Source organism: Homo sapiens, chromosome 7, assembly GCF_000001405.40.
Source record: "Homo sapiens chromosome 7, GRCh38.p14 Primary Assembly".
Classification (NCBI taxonomy): Eukaryota; Metazoa; Chordata; class Mammalia; order Primates; family Hominidae; genus Homo; species Homo sapiens.
Window position 1 is genome coordinate 129,610,826 of NC_000007.14, and position 26,558 is coordinate 129,637,383.

General features: G+C 40.3%; 1 protein-coding gene across 4 annotated transcripts in view, besides 3 other annotated features; it reads left to right on the forward strand.

Annotated features, from left to right (window-relative positions):
* Window positions 313-362: an enhancer, noted in NCBI's record as "active region_26631". NCBI's record gives its function as "activates an Ori minimal core promoter by ATAC-STARR-seq in GM12878 lymphoblastoid cells {active_cell/tissue: GM12878}" and the evidence as "EXISTENCE:reporter gene assay evidence [ECO:0000049][PMID:35858748]".
* Window positions 753-1,742: a silencer, noted in NCBI's record as "silent region_18632". NCBI's record gives its function as "represses an Ori minimal core promoter by ATAC-STARR-seq in GM12878 lymphoblastoid cells {active_cell/tissue: GM12878}" and the evidence as "EXISTENCE:reporter gene assay evidence [ECO:0000049][PMID:35858748]".
* The window catches only part of NRF1 (nuclear respiratory factor 1), a 145,357-nt gene continuing 119,693 nt past the window's right edge, over window positions 895-26,558 (forward strand). For 3 of the 4 annotated variants that reach the window (NM_001293163.2, NM_001293164.2, NM_005011.5), the window contains exon 1: window positions 895-999. The gene's annotated coding sequence lies outside the window, so the exon portion shown is untranslated. Of the gene's footprint in view, window positions 1,000-19,242; window positions 19,344-26,558 lie in introns of those variants that run through there. The other variant, NM_001040110.2, reaches the window with a different exon arrangement.
* Window positions 2,043-2,182: an enhancer, noted in NCBI's record as "active region_26632". NCBI's record gives its function as "activates an Ori minimal core promoter by ATAC-STARR-seq in GM12878 lymphoblastoid cells {active_cell/tissue: GM12878}" and the evidence as "EXISTENCE:reporter gene assay evidence [ECO:0000049][PMID:35858748]".

Below are 26,558 nucleotides of genomic sequence, written 5' to 3' on the forward strand. Positions count from 1 at the left end.
GGAGTCTCCTGACGACACTAAAAAAACAACAAAAACGACCCCTCTGCCGGGCATGGTGTCCTGTAATACCAGCACTTTGGGAGGCTGAGTCGGGAGGATCGCTTGGGCCCAGGAGTTCGAGACCAGCCTAGGCAACATAGGGTGACCACCCACCCCCGTTTCTAAAAGTAAAAAAAGACCCCTCGTGTGTCTCCACCGTTAGGTTGTTTTCCCACTGTCCACCCCTCCCTACTTCTCAGGCACCTGCTTGGGGGCCCCTATTGCTTCGAATAAGCTCCGTGGGAGCCAGGACTTTGTCTTGCTAACAGGTGCATCTTCAGCGCACTCAGAACAATATCTGGCACAGCACGAGACACCTAGAAATGTTCGCCGAACGATCGAATGGCTGAATACATTCATATGTTGCTTTGTACAAAAACTTGCTTTCAAATATCTGGGAAGAGTTAGAGATAGGAAAGCAGAGGTCATTTCAAAGAGAGAGAGTGAGGATACCACCGGGAAGGCAGCGCCGAAAAAACCAGAGGGGAACCACTTGCCGATCCCCCAGGCACAGTCTGGAGGTCCCAATTCCCGCGGTAGGGGGGCGAGAGATGCCACTCGTCTGATCAGCAACCATTTTGGGCCCGCTTGCGCCGCTTCTCCGGGGCGTCCGCGTTGTGCTCATCCAGTTGCTTTTGAGGTTCCGGCCCCCTCCAAACCTCTGAAGCGCTCCGTGCACGCGACGCGGCGGCGGGGTAAGCTGGAGCCCTCGCCGCGAGCCCTCTCCGCTGCCTGCCCGCAGCACAGCCGCGCCGACCTCCTCATCATGGCGGCGGCCGGGCGGGGAAGCCGGGCCGTGCGTCGCGTGCGTGCCCTCTCCCTCCCCTCCCCCTCCTCGGCGGCGGCGGCGGCGGCAGAAGCGGCAGCGCTCGCCATTGCCGCTGGTGGCAGGAGGCTGCGAGGAGCCGGCGCGGTCGCAGTCTCCACGGCGCAGGCCCACGGTAGCGCAGCCGCTCTGAGGTGAGTGCCCTACCGCGCAATCTCCAGCTATTTCAGCCCCGGCGCAGCCGCAACACGCCGCCCGCCCGCCGGCCGGCCGGCCCGCCCCGCAGCCGGCACCCTGCCGCCCCCGGCTCTGGGCCTGGGCCCCCGCCGGATTCGGCCCGCCTCGGGCGGGGGGCCCCGGCCCGGCCCAGCCAAACCGCCACCCCGAGGATGCGCAGGCCGCACTAGGCCCCAGGCGTCCTGGCGGGCTCGGGAGGGAGGCGCTGCCCTCCCGAGAGCCCCAGGGTTCCGGCCTCCTCCGCCGCCTGGGGCTCTCGGGGCCGCGGCCTTCTCCCCGCCGTGGAACCCGGGGCCCGGCCTTCCCGCAGCTCGGGAGCGGGAGGCGCGGGAGAGTGCGCCGGGCCCGGGAGCGGGAGGTGGGCGGGCTGCGCGGGACCGGAGCCGCGGCTCTCGGCTCGCCCCCTCGGCCCTTCCCGGCTCTCGTACGCGGGCGGGCGGGCGGGCGGCGCGGTGGGGCCGGGCTGGGGCGCGGGAGCCGCTGTCTCCTGCGGGAGAGGAGGCTGGCTCTTTGGGCGACCTCCGAAGCTTCCCTCCTGCCGGGGTGGCGTGGGCTTGTTACCCAGGTAGACTGGGGGACGCTGGAATATGGCGCGTTGCCCACCTTCTTGCAAGTTAGGAGGTGGCCGGGGCGGCAGTTCGAGGAGGAGGGCGCAAAGTCCTTTTGTACGCAGAAATAAGGAGCGACATTGTGTTTTCTTCCCCAGCTGAGATGTGCCCGCGGAGGGGCCGCGGTTCTTCCTGTGCCTGGGGTGGTGGTCCCCTGGGTGAGGGAGAGGGGGAGTGGCACGCCCCTCCGAAGGAACAGAACCTTTTGCCACTGGAAAGACAGGGGCTCTGAGATGGCCGTGTGCATGGTATTTTCCCATATCCCCAGACCTTTTCGGGTTTGTCATTGAATGTTGTGCACTCCATCGTGCAATGATGTCTGCTGCCTCTCTCACCTGTTGTGTCGTGGCTGCTGGTCCCAAAGTTTCTGCAGTGTATTTGGCTGTGCCCACCAGAACTTGAAGTTGTTTAAAAATCTTAATACTTGGGGGGCTTCCAGTGATATCTGCTCCAACCAGTTGGAGGAGCTGTTGCCTGCTCTCCATTCTTCTTAAGCATTAGATTAGAATATATTAATTGCTTATTTTAGAGCTGGTGTCAATCGTGCTGATTTCTTTATGTGGTCAGAGCAAAATTCACATTTTTTTAAGTGTTCAGAGACTGCGTATTGAGAGACGCATAAGGAGAAAGGTAGTGTGAGTGAGCCTGTCAGCTTGGGCAGTGTTGGGCAGAGCTTTTGTCCCGGGACATCATCTGTGCTCACAGTGATCCTTTTTCCCATTCCATCTCAGCCTAGCCTTTTAAAAAATTATTTTTCCTTTGGGCTTGACCAGTAAGTAATTGGGAAAGGGGGGTGCTGGAGTCTTGGAGATGCTGTTTGTGTGTGTGTGTGTGTTTGATTCATTAGTATCCCGACTCCCTAAAATTGTATTTGACAGTTCTTGACAGGTTACCCCGTAAGACAGTGAAAATATGACTAGTTCTCTCCGTGCATCTGAGTGTAATTTCCTTATTTTATGAGTCCGAAAGCAGACATAATTATCACATGCAATGTAGAATATTTATTCTTAACTTGGATCCTAAATTGTGGGCAGAATTTTTTTGTGTCAAGGGGTTTTTTTTTCTTTTGATAGGACTTAGTGGCTTTCAACAGGGCCCATGACCAAAAAAAACAATAATCAGATTAAGAAAACTCTTTACGGCCGGGTGCGGTGGCTCACACCTGTAATCCCAGCACTTTGGGAGGCCGAGGCGGGGTGGATCACCTGAGGTCAGGAGTTCGAGACCAGCCTGGCCAACATGGTGAAAGCCCATCTCTGTTAAAAATACAAAAATTAGCTGGGCGTGGTGGCAGGCGCCAGTAATCCCAGCTGCTGGGAGGGGCGGGGGCGGGGGCTGCCGAGGCAAGAGAATCGCTTGAACCTGGGAGGCAGAAGTTGCAGTGAGCCGAGATGGAGATCGCGCCATTGCACTCCAGCCCGGGGGACAAGAGCGAGACTTCATCTAAAAAAACAAAAACAAAAACTCTACTTAATCTTTTGGCCCATCCTTATTTGAAGTCCTTTAATTTCCTCACACAGCCTCAAACTCGACATATAGGAGGGAAAATGACTTTTTGCTTAGTAGTCAGTGGTCATAGTCTCCTGTAACAAAGAAAAGTTCTTATCCCCAAGTCGGCAATTTTTGTGGAAATAGTTCTCTTTTTCTTTTTCTTTTCTTAGACGGAGTCTCACTCTGTCACCCAGGCTGGAGTGCAGTGGTGCGATCTCGGCTCACTGCAACATCTGCCTCCTGGGTTCAAGCGATTCTTCGGCCTCAGCCTCCCGAGTAGCTGGGATTACAGGCGTGGGCCACCATGCCCGGCTAATTTTTGTATTTTTAGTAGAGACGGGGTTTTGGCGTGTTGGCCAGGCTGGTCTCGAACTTCTGACCTAAGGTGATCTGCTGGGCTTGGCCTCCGAAAGTGCTGGGATTACAGGCATGAGCCAATGCGCCTGGCCCAATAATTTTCTTATAAAAATATGTATTTGTGTGTGTGTGTGTGTGTGTGTACATACATATATATAATTTTTTTTTTTAAGTTAGAGATGGGGATCTTGCTATGTTGCCTAAGCTGGCCTTGAACTCCTGGGCTCAAGGAATGCACCCACCTCAGCCTCCCCAGTAGCTGAGACTATAGGCAAGTGCCACCGTGCTGGCAGTGGCTTCATAACATGTTTCAAGGAAATTTAGCTCCTGTGTTAAGAGAAGGAGCTATAGAAGTAGAAGATAATGAGGGCCCTTGTCCAGATATAGAAGGTTTAAAGGAGAAAGGATTTCAGGTTTCCTTCTGAATTCCTGTGTATGTCGTTAGGACCCCAAATTGTAGGTTTTTTGTTTTATTAAACGATAATTATGCACTTGTCTAATTTTGTTAGGGAACCGAAGGCCAACTTCCCATGATTTAAATACCTGAATTTGCATTGCCTGCACACTGTAGGTTCAACCAAATCTCTGGGTTGTCTTTAGAAGCATTTTATGTAAATAATCACGAATGAGTGACTTGTTTTAAGGGAAATTTAAGCTCCTGTGGTCTGGGATTAAATTTTTATGCCTTTTCTTGTATGGAATAAGGCATTCAGTAAAGTTGAAGAATAATAACAATGAACAGTAATTACTGAAATTAAAATTTTTCCCTGAGTATTTGAAAAGGCATGCTGATTTTTTGGTTTCTGGAGGAACTATGAACTGTCAGTCTTTAGAAACAGTCTACAGTCCTACCTCAACAGGAAGTTAATGTATACATTCAGCTTCTGTCAGATGTCTTTAGACAAGCCTGTTGCTTCATGCTGAAGCAGGCTTATTCATTCACACAGTGCCACTGTGAAAAATTGAAGGGTGAGGGGAAACTCCCTGGGCTGTTGAATTTCACAAATGTCTACTTTAACCTCAAGAGTTTAGATGCGCCCTTTCTGGGCCAGTAATCATCTAGGAAATGGGATATCTGAATTTAGATGTTTGTGTGTGACTGTGTGATGCTTATTAATATGTATATATAGAGTATTTGGAAAATCAATCTTAAAATGCAAATCTTTGATTTTGTAAAAAACATTTCAGGAAATGTTCTATACTAAAATACATTTTCTTTATGTTCTTTCATGTTTTCCTTGATAGCTAAAGCTAGTGTTTTCAGCCTGAGCTTACCCAAATATAATTTTCCATGAATGCTTAGTAAAACAGCAATGAAAAAGGAATCCACTTGTTATTTTAGAAACATTTTATTTAGACCAAGTCCAATGTTTTTTGAGTCTCAAGATACATGTTAATTTTTGTGCCTTGTGTATCATATTTCCTTCCTTATTAACTAGAGGGTGGATTACCCACTTTCTTGGGTTTTCAGTTAGTACTTTTATCCATCAGTTTTCTACTAAGGTAAACAGACTGGAAGATAAATAGTAAAAGGAGGTGAAACAAATGAATTTCAGGTGTTTCCAGGAGATTAAAACCATATTGAGCTATTGGAAACTTTTAATCCTCAAGCAACAACAATGCTTTGTTTGAAGTTATTTTAGTGCAATATGGACAAAACTTGGGAAAGGAATTTTTGACTGCTCAAGAAAAATAAGTGGATTGCTTATACCTTAGAATATATATATATACACACACACATATATATATTTTTTATTTTTTCAAAAGTGCACTTCAGAATTGGGCTAATGTATTTTCAGCCCAACTTAATGCAGTGTAGTTAGCAAAACATCCAAAAGGCTTCATCATGTTGTGGTCTTTAGGCCTAAAATGTTTTAAAATGTGAACATTTATGTGATACCAAGTAAACTTTCTATGACCCAAAGAAGGGCTAGAAATAAAACTTTACAGAGATGTTCTAGTATATTAGAAAACAATGGCTGGTTATGGTGGTTCATGCCTATAATCCCAGCACTTTGGGAGGCCAAGGCAGGAAGATTGCTTGAGGCTAGGAATTCTAGACCAGCCTGGGCAATGTAGTGACATCCTGTCTTTACAGAATATTTAAAAAAACAAAAAAACGAAAAACTAGCTGGGTATGGTGGCATATGCCTATAGTTTGAGCTATTCAGGAGGCTGAGGCAGGAGGATCACTTGAACTTAGGAGTTTGAGGTTGCAGTGAGCATAATCATGCCATTGTGTTCCTGCCTGGGCGACAGTGCGACCGTGTTTCTTAAAAAAAACTAGTTGCTGTTAAGGTAGGCCTACCACATTTGTAATCTCTTGAGGCAAATCTGTGTTGTTTCTCTAAGAGCAGTCACTTAGAAGATAATCTGACAGTAAGGAATGGTCTACTGAATCCCAGATCTGGTAGTCTGCCTTGCCCAATCACAACATAGTTTGTGTAAAACTCCAACTGCTACTGAACCATCAGATAATTTCTTGAGGAAGCCGTTTCTCTTAAGGAGAAGTGTGTGTGTGTTGGAGGGAGTGTTGGTGGGGAGAAGAGGGGTAAAGAGAAGATGATACTAGTAAAATAATCTAGTTTTGTAGGTTGGGATGATCACTGGAATTTTTTAGGGGAAATATTCTCAAAAAAAGTTGTAAGAGCTACTTTTGTATGGGTTATCAGTTTGGTGATTTAGACTATAGTAATTGCATTGTTTAATATGCATTGTATTTCGATTAATTCATGCATGCTGATTTCTGTGGTAACAAATGTGAAAAGTTTGGCTGATGGCTTAAGTGGACATTTTCTTAAGAACTCTTTAAGTGGTGCCTGTTGGGATAAACTATGCCAAGCCATTTTCTGAATCTTCATGAAGAATGAGCTTTGTATGCATATATATTAAGACAGTTTTTTTTAAAAAGAGCATGTATTTTACTGTTGGTAATTGTAAAGTTTTTGCTTTTTAGAACTTTAAGAGTCCGTTTTGTTGCTGCTACTGAATGCTAATGTGGTTAGGCTGGCAGCTAAACCTACAAAGAACAAGGGGAAATGAGGAAATGTCCCAATGAAACATTGCTTAAAACTGTTTGCGCAGTGGACTAGAAATGGGGAGTTGGGGACTAGGGGACCTGATTCTTGTTTTATGTTCAAAGGAGAGTGAAGCATTCTCTCCATTAAGAAATAACCTCCTTAAGTGTATTCTCACTTTGGAGTTTTGCCACTCATTCATTCACCTGACGATGATTAAAGATATACCACATTCTGGGCATGTACTAGGTGCTAGAGTAACAAATCTTGGGCCTTGTCGTGTAGAGCAGAAAGGTATGGGCTCAACTAGCTATGTTACAACTTCTAGAGAACCAAAATAGAGCAAACAAAGAGTGGTGTGGGATTATAGGAGGAGGGAGAAATTCCTTCTAGGGAGAGGAGAATGATACACAGAGAAAAGTGAGGTTAGGGAAGACTTTTCACATAGGGGAAGTTTGAGTAGGACTTGGAAGGGGGAGTAGCTGCATTACTGATGGAGAAGAGGGGCTGAGAGGAAGGGCATCAGTAGTCTGATTTGAGAACTAGCAAGTGGATTTTGCTCGACTTGGAGAATAGTGGAAAGTGAAACTGATAAGGTTGTGGCCATATTGGGAAGAGTTTGTAATTCCATGCTCATGAGTGTGAACTTTATTCTATAGGCATTTAGGGACCATAAGAGGTTTGAGTAGGACATCCACTATGGTTTTTAAAAAGATGACATGTAAAGATTTGACTAGAGACTTGTGAGAGTATTGAATTGTGATGTAAAAGGACATCGATTCTGGGGATAATTTTTACTTCACAGTTGTCAGATTTGAGTGACAATTGAGTAAAGAGTTAAAGATTATAGTGTGGTTATTGGGTGATGATGATGCCTTTAAGATAGGGAATGTATAGGAAGAACAGAATTTGAGGAGGAAGGTAATAGAGTATGACTCCAGATGTGTTAAGATATCTGGGAATCAAGAAAGGTCAAGTAAGTACCTGGGTATTTGGGCTGGAGCTCAAGGGGACATTGGGATAAATTAGGGGATTTGCATTCATCAGTATAATGCCATATAGAAACTGCAGAAAGCCAGGCATGGTGCCTCACACCTGTAATCCTAACACTTTAGGAGGCCAAGGCAGAGGATCACTTAAGGCCAGGAGTTCAAAACCAGTCTGGGCAACGTTGTGAGACCCTGTTTCTACAAAAATTTAAAAAATTTGTCAGGTATAGTGGTAGCCACCTGTGGTCTCAGCTACTCGGGAGGCTGAGGCTGGAGTATGACTTGAGCCCAGGAGTTTGAGGCTGTAGCAAGCTATGATAGGGCCACTGCACTCCAGCTTGGGTGTCAGTGTAAGACCCTGTCTATAAAAAAGAAAGAGAAAATAGTACAGATTGAGTATCCTTTATCCAAAATGCTTAGGACCAGAAATGTTTTGGAGTTTTTTTTGACTTTGTAATGTTGGTATGCATATAATGAGATACCCTGGAGATAGGGCCCAAGTCTAAACTTGAAATTCATTTGTGTTTCATATACATCTTACAACCTGGATGCAGTTTTATACAATATTTTAAATAATTTTGTGCAGGAAACAAAGTTTTGATTCCATTCTGACTGCAACATGTCACCTGAGGTCAGGTGTGGAATTTTCCACTTGTGGCATCATGTCAACACTCAGAAAGTTTCAGATTTTGGAGCATTTCAGATTTTAAACTTTTGGATTAGGAATGCTTAACCATATCAGGAGTGAAGAAAAAAAACTAAGGGCAACCTTGAAGAGCATCTACATCTGAGGGTCAAGTAGAAGAATAGAAACCTATGAAGTAAGTTGAGAAAGAATGGCTAAACAGATAAGGTTATAGGGTTGAAGAAGCTGAAGAGAGGGATTAAGTGAATACTGACAGGGAAGTTAGCCGTGTGAAATACCACAGAGTTCATTGGTTTGGAGGGCAATGCCGGAGGATCGCTTGAACCCAGCACTTCAAGACCAGCCTGAGCAACATAGCAAGACCTCGTATCTATTAAAAAAAAAAAAATCATTGGGATAAAAACTGGACTTGGCATACGTGTATATATATATATATATATATATATATATATATATATACACACACACACACATATATATACACGTGTGTGTGTGTGTGTGTGTGTGTGTGTGTGTATATATATATATATATATATATGTATTGTTTTGCTGGGAACCATGATAGTTTAGACAGAATAGATTTCTAGAGCATTACTAAATTCAGGGGTAGGTCCTACAGAATCTAACTTAGTAGAAGACCCATGCTTAGAAATAGGTCCTGTTCTTCCATGTCTCTCTGCAATGGGAGTTGCAGCTTAAATGCTTTGGGAGATGACCCCCAATGACAAGGCTGCCTAAAAATCTCCATATTGTTTGGGTTGTTTTTTTTTTTTTTTGCCTCTTTTACATTGTCTTAAATTCTGAGAATTGGAGATTTCATTTGAGTTGACAGTGTCTTAAAATACAAATAACCTCTTGCAGAGTTTTGAGGTTTTATGATATTAATATGTTAAGTATGGGGGTTTTTAACCTGGGGTTTTCTGGTTCTGGGGTTTATATATTTTGGCTGTGTGACCCTGAATCCCTTAAAATTGTTTGAAAAGTTATGTGTGAGTGCATGTGTGATTTTTCTGGGGAGAGGGTCCACAACATTTATGAGATTTTTCAAGGGGGCTGTTGACACACAGAAAAGTCAAGGGCCTTTACTAAATGTTAATGATTAAATCAAGTGTTGGTTGTGTTCGTTGGCTGAAATCAGTTATCTCAACAAGTGAGACAGATCAAGGGAAAGAAATCTTGAGTAGGTGTCTCAGGTGAAGAACTTTGGAAAGATACGAGGAACTTCTTAGAAATGGGAGTAGGAGCACCAGAAGGAAGGTAGGAGGAATGCCAAAGCAAAGCTTAACCGATTTCAGAATTTTGTCAAGTCTCTGGATTGCTTGGTTTTTTTATACTCTAGGACTGACACTTAGTATATGTTTATTCATGCACTGTAGATACAGTAGGCTTTATGGGGTAGGGGAATCAAATCACTTTTTTTTTTTTTTTTTTGAGATAGAGTCTCGCTTTGTCACCCAGACTGGAGTGCAGTGGTATGATCTTGGCTGACTGCAACCTCCGCCTCCCGGGTTCAAGCGATTCTTCTGCCTCAGCCTCCCAAGCAGCTGGGATTACAGGCGCCTGCCACCATGCCCAGCTAATTTTTTATTTTTAGTAGAGATGGGATTTCACCATATTGGACAGGCTGGTCTTGAATTCCTGACCTTGTGATCCGCCCGCCTTGGCCTCCCAAAGTGCTGGGATTACAGGCATGAGCCACCGCACTGGGCCCAAATTACTATTGTTTTAAAGGGAAAGTGTTTTGAAAGAAAACAAATTGATAGATTGTGCTTGTTGGAAAAAAATTTTTCTACCAAGCTGGCTCATCTGTCAGAAAAAATTCATTTTTAAGTTAGGTGTTGCTTATGCTTTGGAAAAAATTTTAAATGCACAAATATTTCAGTCTAGTGATATGGGGCAAGACATTTATTTTCTCCTTGCAAATTTTTTCTGACCATGAAATGAAAATACCGTTGATGGTTTTTGTAGTGTCTTTCTGAAATATGACGATTATGGAATACTTTGAGATCCAGGATGATTTAATGCTAAGAAATTGCTGGCATTCACATTTCTAAAGTCGTGAATAAAATTAAGAAATTCAAGCACATTATGTGTTCACTAGATCTTACTTGATTTCCAAAATATTTCTTTTTGAAATTTTAGATAATTGGTAATTTTTACTTCCTTCTGCTAATCTTTGCATCTTTGAAATTAGATTAGGAGGCAGTTTTGTCAGCTAGGCCCTAGTTTCTGGGGCAGTGATATCCATACTTTTGCTTGCCACCCTCAAAATAAATTAATGCCACTTGGGATTAATTTGTGATTTTTCTGGGGAGAGGGTCTACAACTTTTATTTATTTTACCAGTAGTCTTGGTAAATACAAGAATGATATGAATAAATATGTTGGGTAATCTTAAACTTGTGTTATGTGATTTGTAATTAGCTTGTGTTTGTGGATGATCTTTACATTCAGTAAATCTCCAAAGAGGGCCCAGATAGAATGGAGTATTTTGTCTTTTCCTTTGGGAACTTTTTTTGGTTCTTTCTTTCATTAAACAATTATGAAATAAAATTTTTGGTAACAGATCTTCCATGTAAAAATAGCCCACAAATCAAAGAACTAGCCAAGATTTGCTAAGTAAGAACACATCATGGAATACCATCATAGAACTAGTCTCTTACCCCAAAACTAGCTGTAGGTGCTAAGTCTAAAGAAGAAGTAATTCTGATATGTTACCAGAATTATGTGGTAATGCGACTGAGTGTTAAAATTGTTGTCTTCTTTAATTTTTGGCTCTATTATTTTAAAAGTTTTTCTCCATAGAATTTTTTTTTTTTTTTTTTTGAGATACTATCTCGCTCTGTCGCCCGGGCTGGAGTGCAGTGGCATGATCTTGGCTCACTGTAACTTCCGCCTCTCGGGTTCAAGCGATTATCCTGCCTCAGCCTCCTGAGTAGCTGGGATTACAGGCACCCGCCACCATGCCGGGCTAATTTTTGTGTTTTTAGTAGAGACAGGGTTTCACCATGTTGGTCAGGCTGGTCTAGAACTCACGACCTTGTAATCTGCCCGCCTCGGCCTCCCAAAGTGCTGGGATTACAGGTGTGAGCCACCGTGACCGGCCGAAATGTATTTATAGTGAAAAATTTAGAAGAAAAGCACCCCCCATTAGTGGTTGTCTTTGGTCTATAAGCTTATTAGGTGATTTTCATGTTCTTTCTTATACCTTCCATTGTTTTTCAAGTTATCCTTAATGAAAATGCATTAGCGTTTACGAGCAGAAAAAATAAACATAAATACAGATAACACAATTATGGCCCTAATGACTTCACTGTCAGATTTTGGATAGGCAAGTTACTTATCTTTACTGGGCTTTTTCCCCATTTGAAAAATGAGGAGGACAGAAATGATATTTAAATTTTCTTCTAAATTAAAATTTCTTCCAAAATCGATTCTAAGTCTGTGTTACATGTTAAACAATAAATATATTTTTCTCTTAATGGAAAAAGCTATGTCATGTTCATTGTAGAAAAACAGAAGAAAATTAAAGATAATTCTACAATGCAAAGATACTTTAATATGCATGGTTTAGATATTTTTCTTTCTTTTCTTTTCTTTTTTTTTTTTTTTTGAGACAATGTCTCGCTCTGTTGCCCAGACTGGAGTGCAGTGGCACAATCTTGGCTCACTGCAACCTCTGGCTCCCAGGTTCAAGCGATTCTGCCACCTCAGCCTCCTGAGTAGCTGGGATTACAGGTGCCCGCCACTGTGCCCAGCAGATTTTTGCATTTTTAGTTGAGACAGGATTTCACCACGTTAGCTAGGCTAGTTTTGAACTCCTGACCTCAGGTGATCCGCCCACCTTGGCCTCCCAAAGTGTTGGGATTACCAGCTTGAGCCACTGCGACCAGCTGGTTTAGATATTTTTCTAAGCACACATGGATATACACAATACATATTCACACTATCAATTTATTTTTACCTTGAAACATTCTTAATGAGACAGTTACAGATCCATTTGTTTTAATGAAATGTAAAAGATATTTTTAAATTTTCTCTCCTAATACATATTTGTTGAGGAAATGCTTACCATTTCATACTCTTTATGGTCTTGCTGAGGTAAGGGTAACTTGGAGTAAGGGTGTAAGGGCTTGCCAATGAAAGCTAACTTAGTGCAGAATGAAAGCTAAATCCTGGGTTAACCTCGATTTCCTTCACATATTAACTTGCTTTTTCTTGACTCTGCCATGATACTTCCTGAGCTAAGATTTCTATTTGCAGGTTAGTTTCTGAAGTGAAGAACCTTGTCTCAAGATAGCATTGGTCTTTTATTTTACCCTGGGAGCTTCTGAGTTACTCTAGTTGTCAGCACGTGAAGTATTAGTAGTAGCAATAGTATAATACAGTAGTGTTAAAAATACCTGTTTTTTTTTTTTTGCATTATCTCTAGGGAATTCAAAAGATTTTGTATAGATAAAATATAAATATTCAAAATGCTGTGTAATCCAACTCATACACTCAGTGAAATATGTGATATATATAATTCTAATTCTGTGTAAAGAATAACTGGAACTTTCTCAAAGGTATCTTTCTTAAAAAATTTATATGGTAGAATCCTATTTAGAGCTAGTAGTGTAACCCAATTTTCCTGCCTACTCATTTAATTCTGTTTTTAATCCCTCTGGTAACTGATTTGTTTTTGTTTTTATTTTTTATACAAAATGGAAAGCAAATCTAGGGTAAATCATTTCTTAGTGACTGCATTTAGTATCTAAACTAATGTCATTTTTTTCTCTTAAGTATAGTAAAGCCTGTAGAGGTGACGATGACAAAGTCCGACTTGTTTATTCTCTTCCCTTCTACTTTGAAAGATTAAGATCTTTTCCAAAAGAAGAACTTTTAGAATGTATGCTTCACAAGATTCTTAAATCAGTATCTTCCAGACATGGCGGGAGGTAGAGAATCTGAGAATAAAAAGTGCAAACTTTTTCTCTCTTAAACTTCTGTATCTGAAAGGTATGAAAGCAAGAGCTAATTCTCACTTGAGAATCCACCACAATGATTGCTTTCATTCTGAAGAAATCCATTTTGTAGCCAGATGGTATGGTATTTTCCATCCGAGAATACAGAACCTGTGGATATGGAGGCCCAGCTGAAAGGGACATGAGCATCTGTGGATTTTGATTCACCCCCAGATACCAAAGGATGACTAAATCCATCAGGTCTCTGCTCAAACATCATTTCCTTAGGGAAGTTTTACCTGGTCTCCCTCTTTTTTGCGTTTTTCCTTCATCATAGGTGGTCATATATATATAATTTTACATTTGTTTGCATATTGCTTGATATATGTCTGTTCCACCAGATTGTAAGCTTCGTGAGAGTAGATACTGTGTTGGTGTTCATTACCAAGCACAGTGCCTGAGACATAGCAAGCAGTATTTATTTGAATGATTGTAGAAACCTGGCGAAACTCATTTGTAATATTTTACTTTACTTAGGCTTTTGTGGTACTATCTAACATTTTATAATTTTAGGAACTCAGGATGGGAAGAGATTCTAAATCATCTAAGAAAGCTCTGCTCTCCAAAGTTAAAAGTCTTCAGTCTCTTCTTGAACACATCCAGTGATAGGAAACGTAACCACCTACCAAAAGTCTGGTTGGTCTTTAAGATATTTGGATGGTTGGAAAGTTTTCCCAACTGAAATTTCTCCCTGAGCCTTTTTATTATTATTATTATTTTTTGGAGACAACGTCTCTGTGTTGCCCAGGCTGCTCTCAGACTCCTGTGCTGAAGGGATCCTCCTGCCTCAGTCTCCCAAGTGGTATCCCTAAAATTTTTACCTACTGATTTTACTCTGTTCTCTAGGGCTTGCAAAAGCAAGTATAGTTTTCATTTTCCTTATTGTCCGAGTCGTCCCTATTTTAGTTTACATATCCCTAGATCCTTCAACCTTGGGAAGGCAATAGGGAATGCTGGAGAGAGAGAGTTTGTGGACTGCATTCGTTTCCTGGGGCTGCCATAAAACCACAAACTTAGTGGTTTCAAGAAACAGAAATGTATTCTCTCACAGTTCTGGAGGCTAGGAGTCTGGAATCAAGGTGTTCACAGGGTGGCGCTCCCTCAGGAGACTCTGGGGGAGAATCTGTTCTTTGTCTCTTCCAGCCTTTGGTGGCATTCCTTGACTTGTGGCTACATCACTCCAGTTTCTGCCTCCATGGTCTCATTGTCTCCTCTCCGTGTAATCTCTATCTGCTTCACCCTTAAAAGGACACTTGTCACTGGATTTAGAACCCACCTAGATATTTCAGGATGATCTCAAGATCCTTAGTTACATCTCTAAGGACGCTTTCTTCAAGTGAGGTAGTATTCACAGGTGCCAATGGTAAGCATGTGAACATATCTTTTTGGGAGCCACAGTCCAACCCACTATAGGAGCTCTGGGCTTAAATTCTGTTAATGTCACTTACTAAGTTTGCAACCTTGAGCATGTTATTTAACTTTTCTGAGTCTGAATCATCTTAATTTTATTTATTTATTTATTTTTAAATTTATTAGTTTTTTAGAAACAGTCTCTTTCTGTCTCCCCAACTGGAGTGCAGTGGCTCAGTCATGGCTCACTGTTGCCTTAAACTCCTGGGCTCGGGCAGTCTTCCTGTGTTAGCCTCCTGAGTAGCTGGGACTGCAGGCATGTGCCACCATGCCCGGCTAATGTTTTAATTTTTTTTTTTTTTTTTTTTTTTTGAGACGGAGTCTCGCTCTGTTGCCCAGGCTGGAGTGCAGTGGTGCGATCTCAGCTCACTGCAAGCTCTGCCTCCCGGGTTCACGCCATTCTCCTGCCTCAGCCTCCCGAGTAGCTGGGACGTCGGGTGCCTGCCACCACACCTGGCTAATTTTTTGGTATTTTTAGTAGAGATGGGGTTTCACCATGTTAGCCAGGATGGTCTTGATTTTCCGACCTTGTGATCCACCCGCCTTGGCCTCCCAAAGTGCTGGGATTACAAGCATGAGCCACCACACCCAGCCCCATGTTTTAATTTTTGTTTTAGAGACAGGGTCTTACTGTGTTGGCCAGGCTGGTCTCAAACACCTGGCTTCAAGTGATCCTCCCACCTTGGCCTGCCACAGTGCTGGGATTACAGGCATGAGCCACCATCCCTGGCTGAATTGCCTTAATTTTAAGACAGGGACAATAATGCCTTTATTATTGATTTGTGAAGATATAAGGAAAATTCATATTAAATACTTGGCACATGGTAGCTAACTCATTCAATGTTGCCTTCGACATACAGTAGTTGCACTACTGTCAGAGTCCCTGAGTATCCTGTGTGGCCTAGAACCCAGCATGAGAGTTGTAGGGCTGGTCCGATAAGTACAGGCTGCAGTGGCTCCGATTTTTTTTGCGTTCTGGACATCATTTAGCCAACTGTGAGGCAGTCTAAGTTTGAATTAGGTTTATCTGTAGCCACATCATAAGATTGGCTCATTAAACTTAGAATTGGTTAAAACCTCCAAATCTTTGTCATTGGTGATTGAACTTATATTGGATAAAGTATTTGGATGCAAGGGCACCCTCTAACATATTACATTGTGTGTTACAAGTGTTACATTAAGTCATACTGCGTAGTGCATAGTAGGAGCTGAATGAATGCTGAATTTAATGTTACTGGGTGACTTAAAGGAGCATTTAAACTTACCTACTTTGGTGCTATCAGATTTCTTAAATGCTGTGATGAATACAAAAAGGGGAAGAAGTAGCAACTACACCAATTATGTTGGGCAGATGGATGCATCTTTATTCTCCTTCTGTGATCAGGAAATCAGGTACTCCTTCAGGTAATCAATGGCTGATCACCTTCAGGTTGATGGACAGCTTGCTTTTGATGCTTCTGTCAAGTGTGAGATGTGTATCCATTGCTAAAGTAACAAATGTACATCTAATGATTTTCATATCTACTAGTAGTTTTGGAATTTGCATTTGATATAAAAGACTAGAGACATAGGTGAAGTGGTATTTTTAAAATATTCAAACTAACTAGGTTAGTGTGGTTTCTAATAAGTATTACATGCACATGGTTAAAAGGAATACAGTAAAAAGTGGGTTTCCCAGTTTCCCTTTCTGGAAACCACCACTGCTAGCAGTTTCTTGCGTATTCTTCCACGTAGGCTAAGCAGAAATTGTGTGTTTGTGTCCTTCCCTTTTTAAAACACAAATGATAGCATATATGCATATGGTTCTCCAGAAAGTGCTTTTGTTAATTAATTAATTTTTTGAGACAGGATCTCCCTCTGTTGCTCAGGCTGGAGTGTAGTTAGCACAGTCTCGGCTCACTGCAGCCTCAGTCTCCCCTGCTCAAGCAGTCCTCCCACCTTAGTTTCCCCAGTAGCTGGGACTACAGGTGCCTGTCATCATGCTTGGCCATTTTTTTTTCTTTTTATTTTTTTCGTAGATACAAGGTCTCACCATCTTGCCCAGGCTGGTCTCAAACTCCTGGGCTCAAGCAATCCTCCAAAGTGTTGGGATTACAGGCATGAACCACCTTGCCCAGCAAAAGTGCTTTTTTAAAAAAGAGTAACATTTTGTATCCTGATCCTCAAGACCTTTGTAGGACTCCAAGTTTTTTGTCCTGTTGTTGATAGGGCACCAAATTCCATAGCTTTCCATTACAATTTGATTGTGTGGGGTGCATTTCCAAGAGAATTGACTATTATATATAGTCTTTTGTGAAAGAATTGTCCTTATAGGCTGACTCAGTTTCTACCAGGGAAATAAAACTAATTTTAATTCAGGTCACTTATTTAGAAAGCAAGTAAAGAAAAACCCATCAATTGAAATTGATTTAACACATTATCTTGGTATTGCTTGTACCCTTTTCATGGTTGCTAAATGAATGACTCATTTTGATTATATTGACAGCAGAGCTAAATAAATTATTTCAAGAGCCTGGTAAGTAGCATAGGTCTAGTTTAGGAAGAGCAGGAATGCCCAGGAATAGAAGGACTCTGGCAATCATCACATTCTACCTTGGATTATTATTTGTGTTTTTTTCTCTCTTACTGTACTATAAGCCAATGGTTCTTTTTTTTTTTTTTTTTTTTTTTTTTTGAGACGGAGTCTTGCTCTGTCGCCCAGGCAGGAGTGCAGTGGCATGATCTTGGCTCACTGCAAGCTCTGCCTCCTGGGTTCACTCCATTCTCCTACCTCAGCCTCCCAAGTAGCTGGGACTACAGGTGCCCGCCACCACGCCCGGCTAATTTTTTTGTTTTTTTAGTAGAGATGGGGTTTCACCGTGTTAGCCAGGATGGTCTCAATCTCCTGACCTCGTGATCTGCCCGTCTCGGTGGTTCTTAATCTTTGCTCTCCTGACCCTTTTACTCTCATAAAAATTATTGAGGACTCCAAATATAATAGCTTTTATTTATGTATGTTATAACTTTTGATACTATATTAGAAATTAAAACTGAGAAAATTTAAAAGTGCTTAATTTAAAAAATAACCCTGTACATGTTAAAAAGTTAATATTTTAATTATGTTACTATTTTATGAAAAACAACTTTTTCAAAACAGAACACTTTAGTGAGAAACATTATATTTTACAGTTTTTGCAAATCTCTTTAATGTCTGGCTTAAGAGAAGACAGCTGAAGTCTCATCTGCTTTTGCACTCAGTCTGCTGTAGTATGTTGCTTTGGTTAAAGTATAAAAAGAAGATCTGGTCTCATACCAAATATGTGGTTGGAAGAGTATTTTAAGAGCCTTTTCAGATAATTGTGGATATTCTTTGATATATTAAAACTCAGCAGTGGTAGTTTCTTAAAGATGAGTTGCAATGTGAAATCTGAAATGGTAACTACTCTTACATTAAAACCTATTGGTTTATCATGCTCTATGAATGGATATTTTAACTGATGCATGATTTTGTAACATCATCTATTGGTAATTTGGAAAATATTAATTCATCAAGTTTATGGAGATCTTTCAAATATTGACACAAAAATCACATTCTTTAACATCACCACCAGTCTCATCAGAAAAGGCTTTTAAGTAATGGAAAACTATTAGACTCACTGTAGCAGATACAAGTTTTCCGAAATTCTAATTATCACTTCAAATATCAAATTTCCATCATTGGCAAAAAATATTGTCAGTTGTTTTCCTTGAAGTGACAGACCCACTTTTAATTTTTGAGAAAATGTCTGTCAAATACCGAGGTCTGAAGAACAATATAGTTTGTCTGTCAGCCACTCTTTGGAGTAAAAATTGTATTCCTTGTGAAAAAAAGCAGCTAATTCAGCTTACAACATAAAACATAGCACACACGCTTTTTTTTTTTTTTTCCTGAGATGGAGTCTTGCTCTTGTCACCCAGGCTGGAGTACAGTGGCGCAGTCTCAGCTCACTGCAACCTCCGCCTCCCGGGTTCAAGCGATTCTCTGCCTCAGCCTCCTGAGTAGCTGGGGTTACAGCTGCCACCACACGCCTGGCTGAATTTTGTACTTTTAGTGAGACGGGGTTTTGCCATGTTGGCCAGGCTGTTCTCAAACTCCTGACCTCAGGTGATCTGTCAGCCTCAGCCTCCCAAAGTGCTGGGATTACAGGTGTGAGCCACTGCACCCGGCCCGCACACACGCTTTTTGAGACAGCCATTTCTGAATGCAGCAGAAAGCTGAATGCAACACTTCTGAATGCAACAGAAGCGCTTTATGCATACTTTCCATTTGTTACGCAGAATAGTAGAAAGACATAACTCTGGGGAGAAGAGTTAATAAAATTAATAATATTTACTCTCATCAAGCACATTCTTAAATAAAATGGACTTTTTTCTCCTTTTTATCGTGAGCACATGAAGGTGAAAGATATAATGGCTACTAGTATAGTTTTGTGCTGTTACCTTAAATTGTGCTAAGTGTCAGTAGTTTTACCCCACCATTGCTTTTGCATCATAAGTGTAAATATAAATGCATTGAGAAAAGGCAAATAGCATCTTATTTATTATGAAAATAATTTTGACCTCATTGATGACTTGAAGAATCTCAAGGACCCCCAGGGTCCCATGGTTTACTTTGAGAACTGCTGTTAAGCTATTTGAGGGTCGAACTAATCATCCTAATATCCCCTTTCAGTTCCTGGTCCAGAACTTTACACAGAAAAGGTGCTCAAAGGATATTTGTTTAATGAATGTGGTATGCTGACATTTAAACAGGACAAAACTTGGTGAGTAAAATTAATGTAGGCAGTCTCCCATCCATTCAGGCAGCTTTTCCATAGACGTTTGTGAGAATAGAGTGAACAAATGGAATGTGGATGATATACACTTGGTAAATGCAAATGATGAAATAAAAGAACAAAATATAAGGTGATAGTACTTACAGAGCTAACAGTCTGAGCCTTGCCTGGGTCCTATTAATGAGTCTTCTACTTTCTGTGTCTTTAAATTTGTAATGGTCTCTTAGAGAGAGGGTCCTCAACTAGGATGGATCTGATCTGAAAAGCAAACATTCAATTTAAATTTCAATAGTTCTCTGCTTGTGCTTGATCTAGTAATGTCTTTTCAAAAGGGATTATAGAAGGTGAATGTTAAAACAAATCATTTTGATTTTCCATAGTGAGTTAAGAAATACATTTTGTTGTTCCTCTTCTGCTTTCTAAGTAATATGTTGGGCTTCTTTCTTGTTTTGTCGTTGTGAGGCATAGTCCGAGGAAACCTTTGTTTTCTATAAATCCTGATATTCTTTGGATTGGAAGAGGCAGTTTCCTGAATAAGAAAGAGTCTGACTACACTGGGTAAATTGTCAGATTATTTTGTCCTCACAGAAGTTAAAGTGTAAAATTGGGTGAGGGCATTGCTTTGAAAGAGTATTTTTATTTATTCTTTTAAAGAAAGTAGATTAATAAAAAGATTGATCAGTTCAAATACCTGGAATATTTAAACCAGTTTTATGTTAACCTAAAAAAATTATTTTGTAGGCATTTCGAAGTTTGACCTCCTTTTTGTCCTAAATTGATTTTAAATCAGTATCAAATGCTGAGGACCAGTAAATGAAACACTCATATGTTGTTTTGAGCAAAATTTTTTATATTATGAAAATATTATAACTTTGAAGTTGATACTTAAAATACTTGAGCCAAAGTTTCTGCCTTTATGTGGGACATTTTCATGAGCTTTCTTATATCAGTTTGCTTACTTACTTTTCATAGAGTTGAGCGAGACTATAGCAAGAGACCCAGGGACATCTTAACATCCTTGAATATTTCTGAATCTTTCTAAGGAATTTGATTTAATTTTTTTTTTTTTTTGAGACAGGGTCTTGATTTGTTACCCTGATGTGATCACTGCTCACTGTAGCCTTGATCTCCCTGACTCAAGCAGTCCTTCCACCTGAGCCTCCTGAATAGCTGGGATCACAAGCGTGCGCCACCATGCCTTCCTTCTTTTTAATTTTTTTGTAGAGATGGGGTCTCCCTATGTTGCCAAGGCTGGTTTTAAATTTTTTCTAGAAACGAGGTCTCGCTATATTGCCCAGGCTGGTCTTAAATTCCTAGCTCAATCAGTTCTCCCACCTTGGCCTCCTAAAGTGTTGGGATTATAGGTGTGAGCCATGGAGGCTGGCCAGGAACTTGATTTTCAGGGAGAAGCCTATTCAGTGTTTCCTTGGACTTCCTCAGCCTGGTTTTATCATAGCATATTATAAGATGATAAACTGAAACCATCTGATTTGAAATCACCAACCTGGGAAATACCAGTCAGAAATTAATTCTATTTTTATGACATTCTTAAAAGACTGTTTAAAACTGACCAAAGTAAAAAATCTTCTTTTAGAGTTATAAGTGTGTAAAAAAAGGCATATTCAAAATAATGTATATATTTAAGTTTACTGGACAGATTTAAATTTGTGTTCTTTGTGTAAGGCATAGATTGGAATGTTTGCTACAGGTATTTTTTGGAACACGGATTTCAGATTGCTGTTTGCTTATAAATATGCATGACTGCTGACCTTCAGAACTGCTTTAAATTTCTCAAAAAATTTTCTCATTATATGCCAGGCTTAGTGGCTTGTGTCTGTAATCCCAGCTACTTGGGAGGCTAAGTCAGGAGGACTGCTTGAGGCCAGTAGTTCGAGACCAGACTGGGCAACATAATAAGACTGCATCTCTAAAAAAATTTTAAAAATTAGCTGAGCGTGGGTAATGTGCACGTAGTCCCAGCTGCTTGGGAGGTTGAGGCTGAAGGATTGCTTGAGCCTAGGAGTTTGAGGCTACAGTGAGGTGTGATCATGCCACTGCACTCCAGCCTGGATGACAAAGGGAGACCCTGTCTCTTAAAAGAATTTTCTTATTATAATAGATACATTTATCTCTGATTTACTCAGTACTATAACCCCATTTAAGTAGTTTGAAGAGATTAGGGTTAAGTCCTACTGTTTTTAGTATGACTACAGTAGTTGCCACTTTAAACAATTTTTGAAATACTTTAGGCATAAAAAAGGATATAGAACAATATAATAAATTCCATATACCTACTACCTAAAGTAATAAAAATCACAGTTATTGTTGAAGCTTATTGGGCACCCCTTCCCCATCCTAGTCCTCTCCCTTCCCAGCTGTGACCATTATTCTCAATTTGATATTTATTCTCTCCCTGCATTTTTACAAACTTTTTCTGTATATATATATGTATCCACTGAAAAAAAAAACAATGTTTGGATTGCAGGGAAAACTAAAAAGTGTAATATTGTTTTATATGTTTTTAAGCTTTGTATAAGAGGTTAAACTTTATTGGTACATGTAGTTATAGTTTACTCACTTTAAATGCTGTAGATATTTGATATAATGGAGTGTGAAAGTAATACATGTTTTTTGTAGGGAATTTTAAAAATAAAGGGAAGTATGAAGATGATAAAAATTTGTAGCCCAGCTATCCAGAGATACTACAGTCAATATTTTGGTTTTTTCCTTTGCTTCTTGTCTTCCCACTTATGTATGTATTTTTTGGTACCCTTTAATATAAAAGGGACCCAGTTTTAAGGATTACATAAAATTGCAAAACAGCTACATAAAGCCTGTAATCCCATTTTAATTGATTCTTAGTTGAAAAGGGGGAAAGAAAATGAATGAGCATTATATATCAGACATACTTGGTAAATTTACTACCTATACCAGATATTGATAGTCTATTTCTTAATATGCAAACACCATAGAAGTGGCATCTGGAAAGAGGCTGTATTACTGAACATGCTTTTAAATTTATATGAGATTTTTCTAGTAAACAAATTTTCCAGATAGGTGATGCTTATCTTTTTAAACGTTAAATACTGTTTTGGTTTTAACCATTTTTTATGGGAAAAAGGAAAATAAAAAGCCTACAAGTATTTCTGTGCTCATTAAGCCAGAATACTGTGGTGTGCTTATAATTTTATCTTTTCTTGGCAACTTGATGTCACTGTGGAAAGCACTGATTACTGAACTGTGTTGTGACTTCTTTTGTTCTAGGTGCCTTTGAACCCTTGTGCACTTTTTAGTTAGATCTTTATTAACATGCTATGCCACTGCAGGGAGGGAGCAGGAAAAGCATGATACACAATTTAAGACAAGTGCCACCATAGGCTACTGTTGGCAAACAAGAGCTCCACCAAACTTTTTAAAGTGAAGAAGCAACAGTCTGAGCCATTTTTCTCACCAGTGGCAGGAGGGGGAGACTTCCACCAGCAACATGGAATCTTCAGTGGATGCAGCTGACCAACCCTCCTGACTTCTCAGTCTTTTCCCACCACTGCTCACCCTTTATGTTCAGATGTATTCAGCACTAGATAACCATACTTATTAACTATAAGTGATGTGTGTGTGTGTGTATGTGTATATATATATAAAACTGTACTTTAAGAATAAATATATATAAACTATATGTGTAACAAATTTATAATATATAAACTATAAATCTGTGAAAGTATTCAGCATTATATAACGGCAGGCTGTGGTGATTTAGATTGGTGGAGCTCCTGACCATGCCTGAAAATCCCTGTACCCCACTTTGACCGTGATTTTTTAAGGGAATATTGTTTTTTTACATCTGTATTTAAAAAAAAAAAAAGATATATATATATATATATACACACACACACACACACACACACTTTATTTTTTAGAGCAGTTTTAGCTTTACAGAAAAATTGAGTGGAGAGTATGGAGAGTTACCATATTCTCTCCTACCCATTTCCTTTATTAATATCTTGCTGTTGTGTGGTAGATTTGTTACAGTTGATGAACCAATATTAACAGAAGTCCATAGTTTACATTCAAGTTCATTCTGTGTGTTTGTGCAGTCTGTGGATTTTGACAAATATATAATCATTCAGAATGGTTTCACTAATCCAGAAGTCTCCTGGTGCTCCTGTCTTCCCTCCTTTCTCTAACCCCTGACAACTATTTTTTTTTACTGTCTCCATAGTTTTGCCTTTTCCAAAAATGTCCTATGGTTGGAATCATACAAATGTAGCCTTTTCAGATTGGCTTCTGTCACTAAGCAATATGTATTTAATGGCTTGATAACTTTTCATGGCTTGATAACTCATTTCTTTTTAATGCTGAATAATATTTCACTGTATGGATGTACCACAAGTTGTTTATCATTCACATACTGAGTAACATCTTGGTTGTGTTCAAGTTTTAGCAATTGTGAATAAAACTGCTGTGAATATTTATTTGTGTGCTGGTTTTTGTGTGGACATAAGTTTCAGCATATTTGAGTAAATACCAAGGAGTGCAGTTGTTGGATCCTATGGTAAGACTATGTTTAGTTTTGTAAGAAATTGCCAAACAGGCTTCCAAAGTGGCTGATGTATATATTTTCAGGTTGCTCGTGTGTTTTTCAAAAACACCTTACTCAGGTATATTGATGGACTGCTTGCCCTGTGATAGGATTACAAGTAATTGAGGTCTGTGGGGCTGGTTGTCCCTACATAAATAATACCAGCTGGTTGTACTTCGCTTGTTCTTGTTTGCTTTCTCTTTTCTTTATCTATTTTTTTCCTTTTCCATGTGTTTTTACTCTCTTTATCTTGCTTTACCAGTTCTGCTTTGTCCTCAGAAATCAGAGGACTGCATTTGTTGGAATAGTGTATAAATTTAAAAGGCAAAATAAAACAAGTCCAAGTCCTTTCTCAGGGTCTCTAGGCGGTTGGGGATGGTTGAGATTGTAGCATTAAGTAAGGTATTGTTGGAGCATTAATTTGACTATATAGAATATAATCTTCAGAGATGGGAAAAGGGAAACAATACGTTAATAAAACTTGCTTTCCTTTGTAATTTGTTAATTATAGGGCAACTGTATAAAATGTTTTAAGACTATGATAGCAGAAGAGTTTTGGTTTTTTTCCTACCTTTCTCTGGGAGAGCTTTTCAGCTTCTACTGTTACAGTTTTTGTTTGTTTGTTTGTTTTTTAAGCACACCACCTTTGGGAGTGTTACAGTTCTTTAAAGAGGACCGAGCCTTTGCTTAAGGCTAGCTTCATACTGTTTGTATAATTCTGTTTGTATGTGCATTTGTACATACCCCCAGCTGCAGCAGAATATCAATAGATTCTGTTCTCCCAGGAGAAGGGCAAGGACTGTATCCAATCTTATCTGGGGTATGTATCCAAATGACCTAAGACAGTCTTCCTAATAAACACTTTTGGACCGCAGGGTTCAGACTCTCCTGGGGTGGAATCTTTTTTTGTTACCTTTCTTTCTGCCTGCTCGTTTAAGTCAGGATGCATGCAAGGCCCACGTCTCCAGTGCCCCCAAGTGGTTGTCTAGGTTTTGCAAGAGGACATCTAGTGATGGGAGAACTCACTGCTTCCAGCCACTCTGTCTATACACCCCGTTAGAAAAATGATCTGTTGACCAGAATTTTGCCATAATTTCCTACCTTTTTTTTTTATTAGGGTCACAGACTTAATCTAATTCCTCTTCCTCATAATGGTCTTTTAATATTTTATGAGAGAGATTCCTAAAGTCCTTCTTTAGATTTAAACACCTCTTATTTTTCTAACTATTCATTAATTAAGCATTTTCATAGTCCCAGTGAAATGTAACGGGCTTTTTCTCGTATCTTTAAAAGTGGAGTGCCCAGGGCTAAGTACAGGAGTGGTCTTTGTTCACATTGTGCATATGTTGCTTGTCATGTGATACTTTTTTTTCCAGACTAAATTTACTGTGAGCCAGTGTTTCTGAATCTTTTTACTTTCTCTGTGATGATGACACAAGTCTCCATCATCCTGTTTTTGTTCAATGGATTGTGGGTTTTTTTCCTTTTTTTTCAAAACAGAGTCTCACTGTGTTGCCCAGGCTGGAGTACAGTGGTGTGATCTCGGCTCACTGCAACCTCCATCTCCTGGGTTCAAGCGATTCTTGTGTCTCAGCCTCTCAAATAGCTGGGATTACAGGTGTGTGCCCCACACCCGACTAATTTTTGTATTTTTAGTAGAGATGGGGTCTCACCATGTTGGCCAGGCTGGTCTCAAACTCCTGACCTCAAACTGCTGACCTCAGGTGATCTGCCTACCTTGGCCTCCCAAAGTGCTGGGATTACAGGCGTCAGCCACTGCACCTGGCTTTTCAATGGGTTTTTTTAGAACAAAGTTTAGAATGATATGTTTATGCCTGTGAACATTTATCTTGTTAGATTATGCTCACTAAGCCATTGGGGTGTTTGGGGAATTTGATCAATGTATCTTTTCTGTCTCTTTTCAGTTTCGAAAACTATCCCTCTGCTGCTGCTTTTCTTCCACTTGTCTTTTCTCAATAGCTGATTCTAGTTTGTGTTGCTTCGATAGATACGTATGGCTAAACATAAACCTTAGACAATAGAAAAACGTATTCATTTGCAAAGCTGCCAGGGTGTTTGGAGTGCTTGAATCATATTGAACTTCAAGAACCATTATGTTTCTTTGTCTTTTTGACAGTTATTGGAGCCAATTTGTGTGTTTTCAGTTTCTCTTAAACTTTCAGTATGTATTTGAAAAGCTTGCAGGCCCCAGTTACTGTGTCTATAATGCCTAGTAAGTAAAATGACCCACAGACCAGTCAATAAGACAGGGCTTAACAGGAGAGTAATCCTTGGTCCTCAGTTTCCCAACTGTACAGTGAAATACTTGGATTAATCACCATGTTTCCACTTGTGCTCTGGAGTTCTGAGTGGTGAGGAGGATGAATGGCTTTAACTCTCTGCATTCCCATACCCTTCAATAGAAGAAATTCCACTGTTACCTTACATTTTGAGGTTCTGTACAGGATTCTGCTTAAAGAAAAGGCTCTGCTGAAAAAAAAAAAAAAGAAGAAGAAGATTCATTGGAAACCCCTGCAAAAAAGCAAGGAAGAAAATGGCTCCCAGAGGACACTGGGCAGCTTGGAAAGTCTGTATGTGTCCCTGATTTCATGAGTTTGGAGGCC